The 24301-nt window shown below is 40.7% G+C and overlaps 1 long non-coding RNA gene and 1 pseudogene across 2 annotated transcripts in view; one reads left to right on the top strand and one right to left on the bottom strand.

Annotated features, from left to right (window-relative positions):
• The window catches only part of NIPAL4-DT (NIPAL4 divergent transcript), a 97486-nt gene that overhangs the window by 17738 nt on the left and 55447 nt on the right, over positions 1–24301 (top strand). The window lies entirely within an intron of this gene.
• Positions 19439–19959, bottom strand: RPL26P18 (ribosomal protein L26 pseudogene 18; annotated as a pseudogene).

The raw sequence follows: 24301 nt of genomic DNA, 5'->3' as shown, positions 1-24301 counted from the left end.
TGGTTTTTGTAGTTTTGCTTAAACTTGCAGTTTCCAAGAACCTACTGATGATTAGTGAGACTTACTGAAAACATTATCACAGAAAATTATATCTTCACCTTATTATATAAATATTATATTACAATTTTCCCTGTCTCTTACTATCTAGATCATACAGTATTTCTTGAACTGTTCTTTCAAATTTTTCAATTCTCAGATATTATAAGGAAACCTCCTTAAAAGCAGTATTTTCCTCAATTTGTTCTGACCTCCTTCAATCAAGATTATACCCTAACCTGTTATGGTCAAAAAATGGTTTATAAACAAGTTAGTTTGGGAGTACTTGCATGTGAATCTTCTCTTACATAGTCATGTAAAACATTTTTGTTTTATTGTTTTGGTTTCTTTATATTTCATTGGAATGCCATTTTTGTTGTATATTTCACATGCATTTTTATTTGGGAAAAGCAGTTTCTAAAACTTGTAATACTTTAATTGCTAAAGTAAATTAGACAAACGTAGATTCCTTTTTTGTAATAATAGTAAAAAATAGTTCATACTAAATAATTATAGATGGTGCTTATTCAAAATTATTTTTATTTTCTCCCAAGATCACAATTTCATTCTTTTTATGTTTTTTTAAATTTTTTTCCCACAATTTTACTCTTTGAGGATCCTGTTTTACTTATGTAATGCATCTTTTACTTTTTCCAAACTAAATCTAAATACTTTAACGGCATTTTGTCAACAGTCCTTTGAGTATGTGAAAGTGGTTTCAGTGCGAAATCTGATGTTTCCTCAAATGTTCTCTTTTAGCAGATCCATAAAATAATGTTAATCTTTTTTATTCTAAAAATTGACATAATTCTAGGCACAGTTATAACTATGTCTCCTAGTAACAAATTTAAACTATGTGCCATATGTGGTAGAAAAAATACCCCTGGATTTTCAGCTAAAAGTTAATGCCATTTCCACGGGCTTGCCCTGACAGTCTTTTAAATAAATTCCTCAAGTTGAAAGTTGATTTTTTTTTTTCCAGTTCTCCTTTATATGATTGTCTTTGTCTTTTCTCTTACCCAAGTGCCTCCACAGCTCAAACTGCTCCACAGTTCCAGGGAGCGCTCATACCTGATATTAGTGGTGGCACAATCCACAAACCTTTCCTGTTCTTAGATGCAGTAGCATTTTGTCTCAAGGATGCACACAAGAGATTAAAAAGATTCCACGGGGGCCTGAATGGTGTGTCGCAGAGCAGATGTTTAGGATTACAGATTGTACTAAGCCAGCATTGAGCATTAGATGCTGAGTGACAATGATGCCCACTATTCTTTGATAAACTTGTTGTTACCTTTAGGGCCTGGTGAAGGGTGGGGCTTGGCAGAAACGTGTTTAACCTAATCTAGACTGGTGTTGATCAGGGCCACCATGTGTTGTTGGTAGCTCACTTTTCTTGGTGCTCTCATGCTTCTCCCTCTGTGTCCATAAGTTCAAATTCTCATTTTTTAAGGTTTATTTTCGAATGAAACCTCTTCCATGAAGGCCTCCTTGATACAGGCCTCACCCTGTCAATCTTAGCCCAGCTGGAATATCTTTCTCTTTTCTTTGGTCTTCCAAAATATTTGATTTGGCCCTGTTAGGATCCCATAGGATAGAGTTACTGTACGTGTTGTTACATACTTTAGTGGTTAAGAGCTTGGACCTGGATCCAAATTCACTAGACTTTGGATCCTAGCTTCATTCTTTACCAGCTGTGAGACTTGTGCCTCAGTATCTCCATCTGTAAAATGGGAGTAAATAATAGTACTTATCTTCTACAAGTTTTTGTGATGTTTAAAGTGTTTAAAGCTCATTTTCTGATAGGTGGAATGGAGAAAGCATAATAAATGCTAGTGATTATTAGATTTCACCATATTCTCCTTCACATTCTAGTACAATGTGTGCATGTTTTATCCCTCCTATAATTCCCTAAGTTCCCTCAGGTCTGTGGTCATGATGGATTTTTTCCATTGTTCTTATTGTGGTAAAATACACAAAATCTACCATCTCAATTTTTTTTTTTTTTGGTTTGTTTTTTTTTTTTTTTTTTGAGATGGAGTCTCGCACTGTCACCCAGGCTAGAGCTCAGTGGCACGATCTCCGCTCACTGCAAGCTCTGCCTTCCGGGTTCACACCATTCTCCTGCCTCAGCCTCCCGAGTAGCTGGGACTACAGGCGCCCGCCACCACGCCTGGCTAATTTTTTTCTATTTTTAGTAGAGACGGGGTTTCACCATGTTAGCCAGAATGGTCTCGATCTCCTGACCTCATGATCCGCCCATCTCGGCCTCCCAAAGTGCTGGGATTACAGGTGTGAGCCACCGCGCCCGGCCTTCTCAAATTTTTAACTGTACAGTTCAGTGATACTAAATTCATGTTATTATTCAGCCCTCATCAACATCCATCTCCAGAACTCTTTTTATCTTGCAAAACTGAAACTCTGTACTCATTAAATAATAACTTACTCCCCTCTCCTTAGCCCCTGGCAACCACCATTCTTTGTCTCTGTGAAATTGACTACTCTAGATATCTCATACAAGTAAATCATATAGTATTTGTCCTTTTGTGACTCACTTATTAGACTTTATGTCCTCAAGTTTCATCCATGTTGTAGTGTATGTCAGAATTTCTTTCCTTTTTGTGGCTCAGTAATACTCGATTGTATATATGAATATACCACATTTTGTTATCTATTCATCCATCAGTGAACTCTTGGGTTGCTTCTGCCTTTTGGCTGTTATATATAATGCCGCCATGAATGTGAGTATTCAAATATCTGTCCGAGTCCCTGCTTTCAATCCTTCTGAGCGTGTACCCAGAAGTGGAATTGCTGGGTCATATGATAAATCTGCTTAGTTTTCTGAGGAACTGCCATGCTGTTTTCCATAGCAGTGGTACTATTTTATATTACACCAATGGTTCACAAGGGTTACGATTCTCCACATCCTCACCAACATTTATTTTCTCTTTTTTTTTTTTTTGGTAACAGTCATCCTAGTGGATGTGAGATGATATCTTATTGTGGTTTTGCTTTGCAGTTCCCTATTAGTTGAACATGTCTTTATGTGGTTATTGGCCATTTGTATATCTTCTTTAAAGAAATATCTGTTTAAGATCTTTGTCCATTTTTGAATTGGATTGTTGAGTTTCAGTGGTTCTCTATGTATTCTGGATATCACTCACTTGTCAGACATATAATTTGTAAATATTTTCTCTTATTCCATAGGTTGCCTTTTCACTCTCTTAATGGTGTCCTTTGAGGCACAGAAACCTACTTTTTGTGAAGTCCAACTGGTCTTTTTTGTTGCCCAAGCCTTTGGTGCCACATCCAAGAAATCATTGCCAAATCTAATCTCATGAAACTTTTCCCGTTTTTTTCTAAGAGTTTTATTGTTTTAGTTCTTATATTTAAGTCTTCAATCAATTTTGTGTTAATTTTAGTATATGGTATTAGATAAGGGTCCAGTTGAATTCTTTTGCATGAATGTCTTCTTTTGAGAAGTGTCTGTTCATGTCCTTTGCCCACTTTTTGATGGGGTTGTTTGTTTTTTTCTTGTAAATTTGTTTGAGTTCATTGTAGATTCTGGATATTAGCCCTTTGTCAGATGAGTAGGTTGCGAAAATTTTCTCCCATGTTGTAGGTTGCCTGTTCACTCTGATGGTAGTTTCTTTTGCTGTGCAGAAGCTCTTTAGTTTAATTAGATCCCATTTGTCAATTTTGGCTTTTGTTGCCATTGCTTTTGGTGTTTTGGACATGAAGTCCTTGCCCATGCCTATGTCCTGAATGGTAATGCCTAGGTTTTCTTCTAGGGTTTTTATGGTTTTAGGTCTAACGTTTAAATCTTTAATCCATCTTGAATTGATTTTTGTATAAGGTGTAAGGAAGGGATCCAGTTTCAGCTTTCTACATATGGCTAGCCAGTTTTCCCAGCACCATTTATTAAATAGGGAATCCTTTCCCCATTGCTTGTTTTTCTCAGGTTTGTCAAAGATCAGATAGTTGTAGGTATGCGGCGTTATTTCTGAGGGCTCTGTTCTGTTCCATTGATCTATATCTCTGTTTTGGTACCAGTACCATGCTGTTTTGGTTACTGTAGCCTTGTAGTATAGTTTGAAGTCAGGTAGTGTGATGCCTCCAGCTTTGTTCTTTTGGCTTAGGATTGACTTGGCGATGCAGGCTCTTTTTTGGTTCCATATGAACTTTAAAGTAGTTTTTTCCAATTCTGTGAAGAAAGTCATTGGTAGCTTGATGGGGATGGCATTGAATCTGTAAATTACCTTAGGCAGTATGGCCATTTTCACGATATTGATTCTTCCTACCCATGAGCATGGAATGTTCTTCCATTTCTTTGTATCCTCTTTTATTTCCTTGAGCAGTGGTTTGTAGTTCTCCTTGAAGAGGTCCTTCACATCCCTTGTAAGTTGGATTCCTAGGTATTTTATTCTCTTTGAAGCAATTGTGAATGGGAGTTCACTCATGATTTGGCTCTCTGTTTGTCTGTTGTTGGTGTATAGGAATGCTTGTGATTTTTGTACATTGATTTTGTATCCTGAGACTTTGCTGAAGTTGCTTATCAGCTTAAGGAGATTTTGGGCTGAGACTGTGGGGTTTTCTAGATAAACAATCATGTCGTCTGCAAACAGGGACAATTTGACTTCCTCTTTTCCTAATTGAATACCCTTTATTTCCTTCTCCTGCCTGATTGCCCTGGCCAGAACTTCCAACACTATGTTGAATAGGAGTGGTGAGAGAGGGCATCCCTGTCTTGTGCCAGTTTTCAAAGGGAATGCTTCCAGTTTTTGCCCATTCAGTATGATATTGGCTGTGGGTTTGTCATAGATAGCTCTTATTATTTTGAAATACGTCCCATCAATACCTAATTTATTGAGAGTTTTTAGCATGAAGGGTTGTTGAATTTTTTCAAAGGCTTTTTCTGCATGTATTGAGATAATCATGTGGTTTTTGTCTTTGGCTCTGTTTATATGCTGGATTACATTTATTGATTTGTGTATATTGAACCAGCCTTGCATCCCAGGGATGAAGCCCACTTGATCATGGTGGATAAGCTTTTTGATGTGCTGCTGGATTCAGTTTGCCAGTATTTTATTGAGGATTTTTGCATCAATGTTCATCAAGGATATTGGTCTAAAATTCTCTTTTTTGGTTGTGTCTCTGCCCGGCTTTGGTATCAGAATGATGCTGGCCTCATAAAATGAGTTAGGGAGGATTCCCTCTTTTTCTATTGATTGGAATAGTTTCAGAAGGAATGGTACCAGTTCCTCCTTGTACCTCTGGTAGAATTCGGCTGTGAATCCATCTGGTCCTGGACTCTTTTTGGTTGGTAAACTATTGATTGTTGCCACAATTTCAGCTCCTGTTATTGGTCTATTCAGAGATTCAACTTCTTCCTGGTTTAGTCTTGGGAGAGTGTATGTGTCGAGGAATGTATCCATTTCTTCTAGATTTTCTAGTTTATTTGCGTAGAGGTGTTTGTGGATATCCAATTTCTGAGCACCATTTGTTGAAAAGACAGTCATTTCCCTATTGAATGGTCTTGGCACCGTGTTGAAAATCATTTGACCATAAGTACAAAGATATTTTTCTAGGGTCTGTATTCTATTCCATTGGTCTATATGTCTGTCTTTATGCCAGAACCACACTGTTTTTAATACTGCAGCTTTATAAAAAGTTTTAATATCAGGAAGTGTGAGTCTCCCAATTTTGTTCTTTTTCAAGATTGTTTTGGTTATTGAGTCCCTTGAAATTCCACATGAATATTAGAATAGATTTTTCTATTTTCAAAAAACATCGTTGGGATTTTTACAGAGATTGCATTGAATTTGTAGACGACTTGGGTAGTATAGACACCTTAACAATATCAAGTCTTCCAATTCATTAACATGGTGTATTAGTCTATTTTCATGCTGCTGATAAAGACATACACAAGATGGGGGAATTTGCAAAAGAAAGAGGTTTAATTGACTTACAGTTCCATATGCCTGGAGAGGCCTCACAATCATGGCGGAAAGCAAGGAGGAGCAAGTTACATCTTATGTGGATTGCAGCAGGCAGAGAGAGAGCTTGTGCAGATAAACATTTTATTAAAACCATCAAATCTCGTGAGACCCATTCACTGTCACAGGAACAGCATGGGAAAGACCTGACCCCATGATTCAATCATCTCCCACCAGGTCCCTCCTACAACACATGGGAATTATGGGAGCTACAAGATGAGATTTGGGTGGGAACACAGAGCTAAACCATATCACATGGTATGCCTTTCCATTTATTTGTGTGCTATTTAATTTCTTTTAGCAGTGTTTTGTAGTTTTCATTGTGCTTGTCTTTCACCTCCTTTGTTAATTCCTGAGTATTTTATTCTTTTTGATGCTACTGGAAATGTAGTTTTCTTAACTTCCTCTTCAGATTAGATTGTTCCTCGTTAGTGTGCAGGGATGTCACTTTTTGTGTATATTGACTTTGTATTCTGCTAATTGGAATTTGTTCTAACATTTTTTGTGTTAAATCTTTAGGGTTTTTTACATAGAAGACTGCATCATCTGTGAATAGAGATCATTTTTCTTCCTTCCCAATTTGGATGCCTTTACGTAATTTTTTTTTTTGACTAATTGCTCTGTCTAGCATTTCTAGTATTATGTTGAATAGAAGTGAAAGCAAGCATCCTTGCCTTGTTCCTCATCCTAAACAGAAAGCTTTTGGTCTTTTACCACTAAGTATTATGTTTGCTGTGGATTTTTCATATATGGCATTTATTATTTTGAGATACTTTATATTTCTGGTCTGTTTTTACCATGAAAGGGTGTTGAATTTTGTAAGATAATTTTTCTCCACCAATAGAGATGACCATTTGTTTTCTCTCCCCTTCATTCTGTTAATGCAGTATATCACATTGATTTTTCTTTTTGTATATTGAGTCTTCATTGAATTCTAGGAATAAGTCCCACTTGGTCATTGATATCGTTTGAATTTGTGTTCCCACTCAAATCTCATGTTGAATTGTAACCCCCAGTGTTGGAGGAGGGGCCTGGTGGGAGGTGATTGGATCATGGGAGTGGACTTCCCCCTTTCTGTTCTCATGATAGTGAGTTCTCATGAGATCTGGTTGTTTAAAAGTGTGTGGCAGCCAGGCACGTTGGGTCACGCCTGTAATCTCAGCACTTAGGGAGGCCAAAGCAGGCAGATCATGAGGTCAAGAGATCGAGACCATCCTGGCCAACATGGTGAAACCCCGTCTCTACTAAAAATACAAAAATTAGCTGGGCGTGGTGGTGTGCGCCTGTAGTCCCAGCAACTTGGGAGGCTGAGGCAGGAGAATCACTTGAAGCCGGGAGGTGGAGGTTGCAGTTGAGCTAAGGTCGCACCATTGCACTCCAGCCTGGTGACAGAGTGAGACTCTGTCTCAAAAAAAAAAAAGAAGTGTGTAACACTTCCCCCTTCCCTCTCTCTCTCTTCCTCCCACTCTGGTCATGTAAGATGAGCCTCCTTTCTCCTCTTCTTCCACCATGACTAAAAGTTTCCTGAGGCCTCCCCAGCCATGCTTCCGGTACAGCCTGTGGAATCATGAGCTGATTAAACCTCTTTTCCTCATAAATTACCCAGTCTCAGGTAGTTCTTTATAGCAATGTGAGAATGAATTAATACAGACATGGCACATACTCGTTTAAAAATGCTTCTTAATTCTGTCTGCTAATAGTATTTTGTTGAATTTTTGCATCAAAGTTATTAAGGAGGATTGGTCTGCACGTTACTTGTGGTGTCTTTCTCTGGCTTTGGCATTGTGAAGCAGGTTCACTGCACTAGTTACCAGCTTGTCTGAGTCTGATAAGACAGAACACACACATACAAGTTACATGAAGTGGGCTTATTACTTACAGAAAAGCAGCAAGGGACAACAAAAGACTAACATTCATTATGAGCCGGTCTTCCAAAGTTCAGAAAAGCTGCTCAGGGTGCATGGAGTCTCATCTTTGTGTGCTCCTTTTGCACTGCAGCTGAGGCAACCTGGCATGTAGCCCACCCTGGGTTTGATTTCCTTGGGGTGACGTGACATACTGGGGTGACGTGACATGCTGAGCAAAACTGTTGAAGGACATCTTGTCTCTGGAGGTAGGGACTGGATCAGGACCTGGGCTTTTCTGGCCGGTTCCTCCCTGTCTCAGAATATTACACTCCCAGCACATTCTGTAGTTATTCTTGAACTACAATTAAGAAAGAAGAACTCTGTCAGTCCAAGGCCACCCAGAGAACTGTCCTGCTGATATCAGGCCAATACTGGCTTCATAGAATGAGTTAGGAAATGTTCCCTTCTCTTCAAATGTCTGATAAAAGTTTGAGAAGAATTGGTGTTAATTATTCTTTAAATGTTTGGAATTTACCTGTGAAACCATCAGGTCCAGAGCTTTTCTTAACTGGGAGGTTTTCAGTTGGTGATTTAATCTCCTTACAAGTTATAAGGTCTATTCAGATTTTTTTTTTTTTTTTTTTTTTTTTTTTGGTGATTCAGTCTTGGTAAGTTTTGTGTTTCTAGAGAATTTGAATTTTGCAATTTCCCTTCTGTTTTTGAGCTCTAACTTCACCCTATTGTGATTGGAGAAGATTATTTGTATGATACTTTTAAAAATCAGTTGAGACTTTATGGCCTAAGCTATAGTCTATCCAGGAGAATGTTCCATGTGTACTTGAGAAAAATATATATTCTCTTGTTGGTAGAGTGTCCTATATGTCTATTAGGTCTAGCTGATTTATTGTGTTGTTCAAGTCCTCTATTTCCTTCTGTCTGGTCGTTCTGTCCATTATTGAGAATGAGATATTGAAGTTTCTATCATTGTGGAAATATGTATTTCTCCATACAGTTCAGCCACCTTTTGCTTCATATGTTTTGATTAGCTGTTATTAGGTATGTAAATGTTTATTATGTTATGTCTTCTTACTGTATTGAATCTTTTATTAATATATAACACCTTTCTTTCTTTGTCTCTTATGATTCTTCCAATTTAAAGTTTGTTTTATCTGATGGTATTACCATCCCTGCCCTTCTTGGTTGCTATGTGCATGAAATATCTTTTCACTTTCAACCTATTTATGTCTTTGGATTCTAAAGTGAGTTTCTTATAGACAGCATATGGTTAGATCATTTTTAAAAATCTATTCTGCCAAACTGTCTTTTGAGTGAAATGTTTAATCCATTTAAATTTAAAGTAATTACTGATGAGGGATTTTTGTCATTTGCTGTTTGTTTTTTATATGCCTTATAACTTCTTTTGTCTTTTTCTGCATTGACTCTTATATTTAATTTTTTAAATAGTGAGATATTTCAATTTCCTTACCTCCTTTTGTGTAAATTCCATAACTATTTTCTCTGCAGTTACTGTGAATATTACACTGAACATTCTAAAGTTTAACACTATAATTTGAATTTATGTCAGCTTTAATAACTTCAATAACATACAAGTTCTGTTCATTTACAGCTGCATCCCCACTGCTTTCAGCTATTGAAGTTAAAAAAAAATGCATCTTTGTACATTGTGTCCAAAAATGTAAACTAATAATTGTTTTAAAAATGCATTAGTCTCTTAAATTATGTAGAAAACAAAATGTAGCATTACAAACTTACATTGCAATAACACAGTTGACTATTGAAAATGTGGGGGTTAGAGGTGCTGACATCTGTGGAGTCAAAAATCTCCATATAAGTTTGACTTCCCAAAAAACTTAGCTATTAGTACCTTACTGTTGATCAGAAACATTACTGGTACCATAAACTGTTAACACATACTTTGTATATGTATTATATACTATATTCTTAAAGTAAGCTAAAAAATACAGAAGAGAAAATACATTTACTGTTTGTTAAGTGGAAATGGATCATCATAATGGTCTTCATTCTTGTCAACTTTATTTTGAGTAGGTTGAGGAGAAAGAAGAAGAGGACAGATTAGTCTTGCTGTCTCAGGGATGGCAGAGGCAGAAAGGTGGAGGAGGTGGAAGGGGAGGTAGGAGACACATGCACACTTGGTGTAACTTTACAAAAATACATTGTAGTTTCTGACTTTTTTTTTTTTGCTTTTGCATTTCTCTAAAAATGTTTCTATATGGTACCAATCCTCCTTCCACCATTTGCTTTAGTTTCAGTGACTGTATCATAGAAGGGTCCCGTGTCATAAAAGAAGTCAAAAAGCAGTCTTGAATAATCAAAACCCTTCTTCCAGATGGTCTAATGTCAATTTCTTTTCTGACGCAGCTACTGTTGTGTCTTCTTCCTCATTGCCTGGCCCTGGTTCTGAAGCACTCATCTCCCAGTCATCTTCTGTTAATTGCTCTGGGGTGACATCTACTGGTGCTTAAATTTTGTGTAATATTCACAATCTCTTTCATGATTTCCTTGATTGGCTCTGTTGTAAATCCTGTGAAGTCATGCACAACATTTGGACATGGTTTTCTCCAGTAGGAATTTATTATTTGGGGCTTGATGGCTTTAACAGATTTTTCTGTAACACCAGTGGCATCATGAATGGTGTAATCCTTCGACTTTCTTGATGTTCTCTCTAGCAGGGTTCTCTCTGGTAGTTCAACAATCTTTTCCATAGAGTACCATGTGTAATGAGCATTAAAGGTCCTTATGACCCTCTGATCTAGAGAGACTGGATTAGAGATGTTGTGTCTGGGGAGAAGTAGACCAACTTTTCAGTGTTGAACTTAGGGGTTTTGGGTGCCGGGGGCATTGTCCAATATCAAAAGAGTTTGAAAGGGGCTGGGCATGGTGGCTCATGCCTGTAATCCCAGCACTTAGGGAGGCTGAGGTGGGAGGATAGCTTGAGCCGAGGAGCTTGATACCTGCCTGGGCAACATAGCAAGACCCTGTACTCCACAAAAAGGGGAAAAAAGATTTTTAAAAAGTAGTTTAAAAGGCAGTCCTTTACTGGCAAGGTACTTCCTAAATTCAGGGACAAAGCATTGATGGAACCAGTCTAGAAAAAGTATTTGTATTGTCTAGGCCTTCTTGTTATACAACTAAAAGAATGGCAGCTGGTGTTTTCTTTTTTTTGTTTTGTTTTTTGTTTTGTTGTTGTTGTTGTTGCTCCTGTTAAGCCTCAGGGATTAGCAGCTTTATAGAAAAGGGAATTCCTGATCATAAACCTGACTGTGTTTGCACAAAACAGTAGAGTTGGCTTATCATTTCCTGCCTTAAATCCTGCTTCTCTTCATTACTAATAAATGTCCTCTGTGGCTTTTTTTTTTTTTTTTTCCGGAATAGAGCACTTTTGTATGCTTTAAAAACCTGTTCAGACACTATCACTTCTTCCCAGGTTGGTTTTGTTCCTGCTTTTTTCTTTTCTTTTCGACGGAGGCTCGCTCTTTTGCCCAGGCTGGAGTGAAGTAGTGTGATCTCGGCCCACTGCAACCTCTGCCCCCTGGGTTCAAGCGATTCTCCTGCCTCAGACTTCCGAGTAGCTGGCATTCCTGGTGCCCACCACCAAGCCCAGCTAATTTTTGTATTTTTAGTAGAGACAGCATTTCACCATGTTGGCCAGGCTGGTCTCAAGCTCCTGACCTCAGGTGATCCACCTGCCTTGACCTCCCAAAGTGCTGGGATTACAGGCTTAAATCACCACACCCATCCTCCCCAGGGATTTTCTTAATGGCACCTGGGAACCTGTCTGCTGCCTCTTGGTTGGCAGAAGCTGCTGCTTCTGTTACCTTGACAATTAAGCCAAACCTCTTCCTAAAATTATCAAACCATCCTTTGCTGGTGTTAAACACTCTAGCATTAGATCCTTTGCCTTCCTTTTGCTTTAAGTTGTCATGTAATGACTTCATTTTTTTCTCAAATCATATTAGAGTCTATATGTATGCCTTTCTTTTTTTTATTATACTTTAAGTTCTACTGTACATGTGTACAATGTGCAGGTTTGTTACATATGTATACATGTGCCATGTTGGTGTGCTGCACCCATTCACTCATCATTTACATTAGGTATTTCTCCTAATGCTATCCCTCCCCCTACCCCCACCAACACGACAGGCCCTGGTGCGTGATGTTCCCCACCCTGTGTCCAAGTGTTCTCATTGTATAATTCTCACCTATGAGTGAGAACATGCGGTATTTGGTTTTCTGCCCTTGCGATAGTTTGCTCAGAATGATGGTTTCCAGCTTCATCCATGTCCCTACAAAGGACATGATCTCATCCTTTTTCATGGCTGCATAGTATTCCATGGTGTATATGGGCCACATTTTCTTAATCCAGTCTATCATTGATGGACATTTGGGTTGGTTCCAAGTCATTGCTGTTGTGAATAGTGCCACAATAAACATACGTGTGCATGTGTCTTCATAGTGGCATGATTTATAATCCTTTGGGTATATACCCAGTAATAGGATGGCTGGGTCAGATAGTATTTCTAGTTCTAGATCCTTGAGGAATCGCCACACTGTCTTCCACAGTGGTTGAACTAACAGTGTAAAAGTGTTCGTTCAACCCACCAACAGTGTAAAAGTGTTCCTATTTCTTCACATCCTCTCCAGCACCTGTTATTTCCTGACTTTTTAATGATCACCATTCTAACTGGTGTGAGATGGTATCTCATTGTGGCTTTGATTTGCATTTCTCTGATGGCCAGTGATGATGAGCATTTTTTCATGTGTCTGTTGGCTGCATAAATGTCTTCTTTTGAGAAGTGTCTGTTCATATCCTTTGCCCACTTTGTGATGGGGTTCTTTGATTTTTTCTTGTAAATTTGTTTAAGTTCTTTGTAGATTCTGGATATTAGCCCTTTGTCAGATGAGCAGATTGCAAAAATTTTCTCCCATTCTGTAAGTTGTCTGTTCACTCTGGTAATTCTTTGCTGTGCAGAAGCTCTTTAGTTTAATCAGACCCCATTTGTCAATTTTGGCTTTTGTTGCCATTGCTTTTGGTGTTTTAGTCATGAAGTGCTTGCCCATGCCTATGTCCTGAATGGTATTGCCTAGGTTTTCTTCTAGGGTTTTTATGGTTTAAGGTCTTAGTTTAAGTCTTTAATCCATCTTGAGTTAATTTTTGTATAAGGTGTAAGGAAGGGATCCAGTTTCAGCTTTCTGCATATGGCTAGACAGTTTTCCCAGCACCATTTATTAAATAGGGAATCCTTTCCTCATTTCTTGTTTTTGTCAGGTTTGTCAAAGATCAGATGGTTGTAGATGTGTGGTATTATTTCTGAGGGCTCTGTACTGTTCCATTGGTCTATATGTCTGTTTTGATACCAGTAGCATGCTGTTTTGGTTACTGTAGCCTTGTAGTGTAGTTTGAAGTCAGGTAGCATGATGCCTCCAGCTTTGTTCTTTTGGCTTAGGATTGTCTTGGCAATGCAGTCTCTTCTTTGGTTCCATATGAACTTTAAAGTAGTTTTTTCCAATTCTGTGAAGAAAATCATTGGTAGCTTGATGGGGAAGGCATTGAATCTATAAATTACCTTGGGCAGTATGGCCATTTTCACAATATTGATTATTCCTACCCATGAGCATGGAACGTTCTTCCATTTGTTTGTGTCCTCTTTTATTTTGTTGAGTGGTGGTTTGTACCTCTCCTTGAAGAGGTCCTTCACATCCCTTGTAAGTTGGATTCCTAGGTATTTTATTCTCTTTGAAGCAATTGTGAATGGGAGTTCACTCATGATTTGGCTCTCTGTTTGTCTGTTATTGGTGTATAAGAATGCTTGTGATTTTTGCACGTTGATTTTGTATCCTGAGACTGCTGAAGTTGCTTATCAGCTTAAGGAGATTTTGGGCTGAGACTGTGGGGTTTTCTAAATACACAATCATGTCATCTGTAAACAGGGACAATTTGACTTCCTTTTTTCCTAATTGAATACCCTTTATTTCCTTCTCCTGCCTGATTGCCCTGGCCAGAACTTCCAACACTATGTTGAATAGGAGTGGTGAGAGAGGGCATCCCTGTCTTGTGCCAGTTTTCAAAGGGAATGCTTCCAGTTTTTGCCCATTCAGTATGATATTGGCTGTGGGTTTGTCATAAATAGCTCTTATTATTTTGAGATATGTGCCATCAATACCTAGTTTATTGAGAATTTTTAGTATGAAGGGCTGTTGAATTTTGTCAAAGGCCTTTTCTGCATCTATTGAGATAATCATATGGTTTTTGTCTTTGGTTCTGTTTATGTGATGGATTACGTTTATTGATTTGCATATGTTGAACCAGCCTTGCATCCCAGGGATGAAGCCCAGTTGATCATGGTGGATAAGCTTTTTGATGTGCTGCTGGATTCAGTTTGCCAGTATTTTATTGAGGATTTTTGCATCAATGTTTGTCAGGGATATTGGTCTAAAATTCTGTTTTTTTGTTGTGTCTCTGCCAGGCTTTGGTATCAGGATGATGCTGGCCTTGTAAAATGAGTTAGGGAGGCTTCTCTCTTTTTATATTGATTGGAATAGTTTCAGAAGGAATAGTAGCAGCTCCTCTTTGTACCTCTGGTAGACTTCAGCTGTGAATCCATCTGGTCCTGGACTTTGTTTTGATTGGTAGGCTATTAATTATTGCCTCAATTTCAGAGCCTGTTATTGGTCTATTCAGGGATTTAACTTCTTTCTGGTTGGAGGGTATATGTGTCCAGGAATTTATCCATTTCTTCTAAATTTTCTAGTTTATTTGTGTAGAGGTGTTTGTAGTATTCTCCGATGGTAGTTTGTATTTCTGTGGGATTGGTGGTGATATCACCTTTATCATTTTTTTATTGTGTTTATTTGATTCTTCTCTTTTCTACTTTACTAATCTTGCTAGCGGTCTGTCAATTTTGTTGATCTTTTCAAAAAACCAGCTCCTGGATTCATTGATTTTTTTTTTTGAAGGGTTTTTTGTGTCTCTATATCCTTCAGTTCTGCTCTGGTCTTAGTTATTGCTTGCCTTCTGCTAGCTTTTGAATGTGTTTGCTCTTGCTTCTCTAGTTCTTTTAATTGTGATGTTAGGGTGTCAATTTTAGATCTGTCCTGCTTTCTCTTGTGGGCATTTAGTGTTATAAATTTACCTCTACACACTGCTTTAAATGTCTCCCAGAGATTGTGGTATGTTGTGTCTTTGTTCTTATTAGTTTCAAAGAACATCTTTATTTCTGCCTTCGTTTCGTTATGTACCCAGTAGTCATTCAGGAGCAGGTTGTTCATTTTCCATGTAGTTGTGTAGTTTTGAGTGAGCTTCTTAATCCTGAGTTCTAATCTGATTGCACTGTGGTCTGAGAGACAGTTTGTTATGATTTCTGTTCTTTTACATTTGCTGAGGAGTGCTTTACTTCAAACTATGTGGTCAATTTTGGAATAAGTGCGATGTGGTGCTGAGAAGAATGTATATTCTGCTGATTTTTGGTGGAGAGTTCTGTAGATGCCTATTAGAGCTGCTTGGTGCAGAGTTGAGTTCAAGTCCTGGATATCCGTGTCAACTTTGTCTTGTTGATCTAATATTGACAGTGGGGTGTTAAAGTCTCCCATTATTATTGTGTGGGAGTCTGTCTCTTTGTAGGTCTTTAAGGACTTGCTTTATGAATCTGGGTGCTCCTGTATTTGGTGCATATATATTTAGGATAGTTAGCTCTTCTTGTTGAATTGATCCCTTTACCATTATGTAATGGTCTTCTTTGTCTCTTTTGATCTTTGTTGGTTTAAAGTCTGTTTTATCAGAGACTAGGATTGCAACCCCTGCTTTCTTTTGTTTTCCATTTGATTGGTAGATCTTCCTCCATCCCTTTATTTTGAGCCTATGTGTGTCTGTGCACGTGAGGTGGGTCTCCTGAATACAGCACACTGATGGGTCTTGACTCTTTATGCAATTTGCCAGTCTGTGTCTTTTATTTGGGGCATTTAGCCCATTTACATTTAAGGTTAATATTGTTATGTGTGAATTTGATCCTGTCATTATTATGTTAGCTGGTTATTTTGCTCATTAGTTGATGCAGTTTCTTCCTAGCATCGATGGTCTTTACAATTTGGCATGTTTTTGCAGTGGCTGGTACCGGTTATTCCTTTTCATGTTTAGTGTTTCCTTCAGGAGCTCTTGTAAGGCAGGCCTGGTGGTGATGAAATCTCTCAGCATTTGCTTGTCTGTAAAGTATTTTATTTCTCCTTCACTTATGAAGCTTAGTTTGGCTGGATATGAAATTCTGGGTTGAAAATTCTTTTAAGAATGTTGAATATTGGCCCCCACTCTCTTCTGGCTTGTAGAGTTTCTGCCAAGAGATCTGCTGTTAATCTGATGGGCTTCCCTTTGTGGGTAACCTGACCTTTCTCTCTGGCTGCCCTTAAGATTTTTTCCTTTATTTCAACCTTGGTGAATCTGATGATTATGTGTCTTGGGGTTGTTCTTCTTGAGGAGTATCTTTGTGCTGTTCTCTGTATTTCCTGAATTTCAATGTTGGCCTGCCCTGCTAGGTTGGGGAAGTTCTCCTGATAGTATCCTGAAGAGTGTTTTCCAACTTGGTTCCATTCTCCCCATCACTTTCAGGTACAGCAGTCAAATGTGGATTTGGTCTTTTCACATAGTCCCATATTTCTTGGAGGCTTTGTTCATTTTTTTTTTTTTACTCTTTTTTCTCTAAACTTCTCTTCTCACTTCATTTCATTCATTTGATCTTCAATCACTGATATCATTTCTTCCACTTGATACTAAATCTTATGCATGCATCACGTAGTTCTCATGCCACAGTTTTCAGCTCCATCAGGTCATTTAAGGTCTTCTCTGTGCTGAAGAGTTAGCCATTTGTCTAATCTTTTTTCAAGGTTTTAGCTTCCTTGTGATGGGTTCAAACATCCTCCTTTATCTCGGAGAAGTTTGTTATTACTGATCTTCTGAAGCCTACTTCTGTCAACTCGTCAAAGTCATTATCCGTCCAGCTTTGTTCTGTTGCTGGTGAGGAGCTGCAATCCTTTGGATGAGAAGAGGTGCTCTGGTTGTTAGATTTTTCAGCTTTTCTGCTCTGGTTTCTCACCATCTTTGTAGTTTTATCTACCTTTGGTCTTTCATGATGGTGATGTACAGATGGGGTTTTGGTGTGGATGTCCTTTCTGTTAGTTTTCCTTCTAACAGTCAGGACCCTCAGCTGCAGGTCAGTTGGAATTTGCTGAAGGTCCACTCCAGACCATTTTCCTGGGTATTACCAGCAGAGGCTGCAGAACAGCAAATATTGCAGAAGAGCAAACGTTGCTGCCTGATCCTTCCTCTGGAAGCTTCATCTCAGATGGACACCCGGCTGTATGAGGTGTCAGTCAGCCACTACTGGGAGATGTCTCCCAGTTAGGCTCCTGGGGGATCAGGGACCCATTTGAGGAGGTGGTCTGTCCATTCTCAGATCTCAAACTCCATGCTGGGAGAACCACTGCTCTCTTCAAAGCTGTCAGACAGGGATGTTTAAAAGTCTGTAGAAGTTTCTGCTGCCTTTTGTTTAGCTATACCTTGCCCCCAGAGGGGTGGGGTCTACAGAGGCAGGCAGGCCTCCTTGAGCTGATGTGGTCTCCACCCAGTTCCAGCTTCCCAATGACTTTGTTTACTTAGTCAAGCCTCAGCAATGGCAGACGCCCCTCCCCCAGCCTTGCTGCCACCTCGCAGTTTGATCTTGGACTGCTGTGCTAGCAGTGAGCAAGGCTCCGTGGGCATGGGACCCGCTGAGCCAGGTGCAGGATATAATCTCCTGGTGTGCTGTTTACTAAGACCTTTGGAAAAGTGCAGTATTAGGGAGGGAATGTCCCGATTTTTCCAGGTACCATCTGTCACGGCTTCCCTTGGCTAGGAAAGGGAATTCCCTAACCCTTTGCGCTTCCCAGGTGAGGCGATGCCCGCCCTGCTTTGGCTCACACTCTGTGGGCTGCACCCACTGTCCAACCAGTCCCAGTGAGATGAACCCAGTACCTCAGTTGAAAATGCAGAAATCACCCATCTTCTGCTCATGCTGGGAGCTGTAGGCTGGAGCTGTTCCTATTCGGCCATCTTGGAACCATATCCATGTATGTCTTTCTTCTGGCAACTCTGTACTCACATAAAAGCTGCATTTTCAACATGAGATAAAATATTTTGTACAGAGAGGAAGGTTTTCATGACTCCTGGCATAGCTGCAGCTTTAGCTTCTTTTTTTAAACAGTAGTCCTAATGTAGGATTCATTTATCTTGAAGTGGTAGACAACCCCAGCTGCAGACCTCAATCTATGCGTATCAAGTAATTCAACTTTTTCTTGTAATGTCAAGATTTTTCTCAGCTTCTTGAACACTTCCAGCATCACTAGTGGCATTTTGTATGGGCCTCAGGTTGTTACTGAAGGTTTACAGTATTTCACTAAACATAAGGAAAAATACATGAGAACTGCTGGAGATCTTTTTACTGCTATATGCAATTTACTAGAGGGACAAACTGTTCACATGGAGATGCAAAGCATCACACAACATTTTAAGCAGATACTCACCATACTTGGTCTTACTGCAACAGCAACAGAAAGTGTCTATGAAATTATTACAACAGTACAGTATGTACTCCAGTTAATTTTATGCAGTTATGATTTCATACCACATCTTTATTTATGTTTCTCTTGACTGCAAATGGCACAATGTATGGCATGTAAGTGTGTAAGTTTTCATAAATTTTACCTTTTTCTAATTTCTATATATTTTATGGTAGAAGAGATAAAATAGCACCTATTTATAGTTTATACATTCATAACATTTACTTTTTTATATTTCTAGACTATGCAATGCATCCGTGATTATTTTCCAATTGTTGCAAATCTCAAAAAAGTTTTCCAATAATTTTTTTTTTTTAAATCCATATGTGGCTGGGCATGGTGGCTCATGCCTGTAATCCCAGCACTTGGGAAGCTAAGGAGGGTGGATCCCTTGAGTCCACGAGTTCATAAACCATCCTAGGCAACGTGGCAAAACCCTGTCTCTACAGAAAATACAAAAAAATTAGCCAGACATGATGGCACATGCCTGTGGTCCCAGCTACTTGGGAGGCTGAGGTAAGAGGATCACCTGGGCCTGGGAGGTTGAGGCTGCAGTGAGCTATGATTGTGCCACTGCAATCCAGTCTGGGTGACACAGTGAGACCCTGTCTCAAAAAAAAAAAAAAAAAGTAAAAATCCACATATAAGTGGACCCATGTTGTTCAAGGGTTAACTGTACTAGCTTTTGGACTAGTAATAATTTTTAGTCTCTTAAATCATGCAGGAAACAAAGAATGTGGTTACAGATAATTCTTACAAGAATATTAGCTTTAAAAATTGCCCATGTTTTACCTTTGCTGAGATCTTTATTTCTTCATATAGCTTCATGTTATTGTCTAGTGTCCTTTCATTTCAACCTGTAGGACTCCCTCTAGTTTTTTTTTTTGCAGGACAGGTCTAGTGGTCACAAACTCCCTCAACTTCTATTTATCTGGGAATCTCTTTTTTTCAGTTGTTAAATTTTAATCAAAGCTTGTGTATAAGATTACTTTATTCCTGCATCTTCTCAATTGTTTCTTCCTTGTGTTTGACCTTTTCCTTTCCCATTTGGTGAGATTTGGCTTTCCATTCAAGGATCTTTTTGTGGTCTTTGTCTGTTTTTAGCCTAGTGATAACCACCTTGCTGGGGTGAATGCATATGTGGACAGTGGCACCATTAGCCTTTTCCTGCTGCACCCATACAGTGTAGATAACATATTTCTTTTATAAACCTGGACTACTTTGCCAATTTGCTGACCTTTTATAGTGTCCTCATACAACCTGAACTTCATCATCCTTTCGGATGGGCAGGGACCACACGTTGTACTTCTGTCTCAGCTGTTTGGAAAGAGGGGAAGACATCTTTCTGGGAATGTGGGAAGGTGCTTTGAAATGCCTTTTGCAATTCTTCCTTCGGTTGGAAGTCACAAAGGGATTGAACTTTGTTTTGGTTGCTCCCACTTTGGTGATGGCTGCAAAAGCGTTATCTGGGAATCTTTTAATATCTCCCTCACTTTTTTTCCCCCAGTGAAACTTAATTTATTACCCTAAAATGTAAATTACATAACATTTTCACATATCATGAAATATTATTCCTGTTAATTTTTCAACTATTTTAAACTGTACAAATTATTCTTAGCTCATTAGCTGTAGAAAAATGAGTAGCAAGCTGAATTTGGCTCAAGGGCTGCAGTTTGTTGACTCATGAGTTTATTTTTCATTTTTAATTTTTTTAAAATTATACTTTAAGTTCTAGGGTACATGTGCACAGCGTGCAGGTTTGTTACATATGTATACATGTGCCATGTTGGTGTGCTGCACCAATTAACTCGTCATTTACATTAGGTATATCTCCTAATGCTATCCCTTCCCCCTCCCCCCACCCCACAACAGGCCCCGGTGTGTGATGTTCCCCTTCCTGTGTCCAGGTGTTCTCATTGTTTTATCAGAGACTAGGATTGCAACCCCAGCCTTTTTTTGTTTTCCATTTGCTTGGTAGATCTTCCTCCATCCCTTTATTTTGAGCCTTTGTGTGTCTCTGCACGTGAGATGGGTCTCCTGAATACAGCACACTGATGGGTCTTGACTCTTTATGCAATTTGCCAGTCTGTGTGTTTTAATTGGAGCATTTAGCCCATTTACATTTAAGGTTAATATTGTTATGTGTGAATTTGATCCTGTCATTATGTTGTTAGCTGGTTATTTTGCTCGTTAGTTGATGCAGTTTCTTCCTAGCCTCGATGGTCTTTACAACTTGTCATGTTTTTGCAGTGGCTGGTACCAGCTGTTCCTTTCCATGTTTAGTGCTACCTTCAGGAGCTCTTGTAAGGCAGGCCTGGTGGTGACAAAATCTCTCAGCATTTGCTTGTCTGTAAAGGATTTTATTTCTCCTTCACTTATGAAGCTTAGTTTGGTTGGATATGAAATTCTGGGTTGAAAATTCTTTTCTTTAAGAATGTTGAATATTGGCCCCCACTCTCTTCTGGCTTGTAGAGTTTCTGCCAAGAGATCTGCTGTTCGTCTGATGGGCTTCCATTTGTTGGTAACCTGACCTTTCTCTCTGGCTGCCCTTAACATTTTTTCCTTCATTTCAACCTTGGTGAATCTAATGATTATGTGTTTTGGAGTTGCTCTTCTCAAGGAGTATATTTGTGGTGTTCTCTGTATTTCCTGAATTTGAATGTTGGCCTGCCTTGCTAGGTTGGGGAAGTTCTCCTGGATAATATCCTGTAGAGTGTTTTCCAACTTGGTTCCATTCTCCCCATCACTTTCAGGTACACCAATCAGACATAGATTTGGTCTTTTCACGTAGTCCCATATTTCTTGGAGGCTTTGTTTCTTTTTACTCTTTTTTCTTTTTTTTTCTTTTTTGCTTTTAAATTTGTTTATTTATTTATTATTATTTTTTTTTCGGTCAGATTTTATTTAAATTTCAACTTTTAGATTCGGGGGTACACATATAGGTTTGTTACGTGGGTATATTGGGGTATGAGGTTGGGGTGCTGAGGTTGGGGTGCAATTGAATCTGTCACCCTGGTAGTAAGCAGAGTCCTGAATAGGTTGTTTTTCAACCCTCCCCCCCTCCTGCCCTTCCCACTCTTGTAGTCCTCAGGGTCTGTTGTTCCCATCTTTATGTGGGACACATTTTAAAAGCTTAATACAGACTGCACTCTGGTACTCAAAGAGTCTCATTTCTCTTGTAGGTTACAGTCCCACCATTTGTTGATCCTCTTTTTTTTTTTTTTTTTTTTAAATTGATCATTCTTGGGTGTTTCTCGCAGAGGGGGATTTGGCAGGGTCATAGGACAATAGTGGAGGGAAGGTCAGCAGATAAGCAAGTGAACAAAGGTCTCTGGTTTTCCTAGGCAGAGGACCCTGTGGCCTTCCGCAGTGTTTGTGTCCCTGGGTACTTGAGATTAGGGAGTGGTGATGACTCTTAACGAGCATGCTGCCTTCAAGCATCTGTTTAACAAAGCACATCTTGCACCGCCCTTAATCCATTTAACCCTGAGTGGACACAGCACATATTTCAGAGAGCACAGGGTTGGGGGTAAGTAAGGTCATAGATCAACAGGATCCCAAGGCAGAAGAATTTTTCTTAGTACAGAACAAAATGAAAAGTCTCCCATGTCTACTTCTTTCTACACAGACACAGCAACTATCCGATTTCTCAATCTTTTCCCCACCTTTCCCCCTTTTCTATTCCACAAAACCGCCATTGTCATCATGGCCCATTCTCAGTGAGCTGTTGGGTACACCTCCCAGACGGGGTGGTGGCCGGGCAGAGGGGCTCCTCACTTCCCAGTAGGGGCGGCCGGGCAGAGGCGCCCCCCACCTCCCAGACGGGGCGGCTGGCCGGGCGGGGGGCTGACCCCCCACCTCCCTCCCGGATGGGGCGGCTGGCCGGGTGGGGGGCTGACCCCCCACCTCCCTCCCAGACGGGGCGGCTTGCCGGGCGGGGGGCTGAACCCCACCTCCCTCCCGGACGGGGAGGCTGGCCGGGTGGGGGGCTGACCCCCCACCTCCCTCCCAGACGGGGCGGCTTGCCGGGCGGGGGGCTGAACCCCACCTCCCTCCCGGATGGGGTGGCCGCCGGGCGGAGACGCTCCTCACCTCCCAGACAGGGCGGCTGCCGGGCGGAGAGGCTCCCCACCTCTCAGACGGGGTGGCTGCCAGGCGGAGGGGCTCCTCATTTCTCAGACTGGGCGGCCGGGCAGAGACGCCCCTCACCTCCCAGATGGGGTCGCGGCCGGGCAGAGGCGCTCCTCACATCCAAGATGGGGCGGCGGGGCAGAGGTGCTCCTCACATCCCAGACGATGGGTAGCCGGGCAGAGACGCTCCTCACTTCCTAGATGGGATGGCGGCTGGGAAGAGGCGCTCCTCACTTCCTAGATGGGATGGCGGCCGGGCAGAGATGCTCCTCACTTTCCAGACTGGGCAGCCAGGCAGAGGGGCTCCTCATATCCCAGACGATGGGCGGCCTGGCAGAGACGCCCCTCACTTCCCAGACGGGGTGGCGGCCGGGCAGAGGCTGCAATCTCGGCACTCTGGGAGGCCAAGGCAGGCGGCTGGGAGGTGGAGGTTGTAGCCAGCCGAGATCAGGCCACTGCACTCCAGCCTGGGCACCATTGAGCACTGAGTGAACGAGACTCCGTCTGCAATCCTGGCACCTCGGGAGGCCGAGGCTGGCGGATCACTCGCAGTTAGGAGCTGGAGACCAGCCTGGCCAACACAGCGAAACCCCGTCTCCACCAAAAAAATACGAAAACCAGTCAGGCGTGGCGGCGCCCGCCTGCAATCCCGGGCACTCAGCAGGCTGAGGCAGGAGAATCAGGCAGGGAGGTTGCAGTGAGCCGAGATGGCAGCAGTACAGTCCAGCTTTGGCTTGGCATCAGAGGGAGACCGTGGAAAGAGAGGGAGAGGGAGACCGTGGGGAGAGGGAGAGCACTACTCTTTTTTCTTTAAACTTCTCTTCTCACTTCATTTCATTCATTTGATCTTCAATCACTGATACCCTTTCTTCCAGTTGATCGAATCGGCTACTGAAGCTTGTGCATTTGTCATGTAGTTCTCGTGCCATGGTTTTCAGCTCAATCAGGTCATTTAAGGAATTTTCTACACTGGTTATTCTAGTTAGCCATTTGTCTACTCTTTTTTCAAGGTTTTTAGCTTCTTTGTGATGGGTTCGAACTTCTTCCTTTTGCGCGGAGAAGTTTGATCGTCTGAAGCCTTCTTCTCTCAACTTGTCAAATTCATTATCTGTCCAGCTTTGTTCCATTGCTGGCAAAGAGCTGCATTCCTTTGGAGGGGGAGAGTCGCTCTGATTTTTAGAATTTTCAGCTTTTCTGCTCTGTTTTTTCCCCATCTTTGTGGTTTTATCTACCTTTGGTCTTTGATGATGGTGATGTACAGATGGGGTTTTGGTGTGGATGTCCATTCTGTATGTTAGTTTTCCTTCTAACAGTCGGGACCCTCAGCTGCAGGTCAGTTGGAGTTTGCTGGAGGTCCACTCCAGACCCTGTTTGCCTGGGTATCAGCAGCGGAGGCTGCAGAACAGTGAATATTGCTGAACAGCAAATGTTGCTGCCTGTTCTTTCCTCTGGAAGCTTCATTTCAGAGGGGTACCAGGCCGTGTGAGGTGTCAGTCTGGGTGTCTCCCATTTAGGCTACTCGGGGGTCAGGGACCCACTTGAGGAGGCAGTCTGTCTGTTCTCAGATCTCAAACTCCATGCTGGGAGAACCACTACTCTCTTCAAAGCTGTCAGACAGGGACATTTAAGTCTGCAGAGGTTTCTGCTGCTTTTTGTTTGGCTATGCCTTGC

This window comes from Homo sapiens, chromosome 5, assembly GCF_000001405.40.
Source record: "Homo sapiens chromosome 5, GRCh38.p14 Primary Assembly".
Classification (NCBI taxonomy): Eukaryota; Metazoa; Chordata; class Mammalia; order Primates; family Hominidae; genus Homo; species Homo sapiens.
Note: the sequence above shows the minus strand (reverse complement) of the source record. Positions and strands in the feature narration are given on the sequence as shown.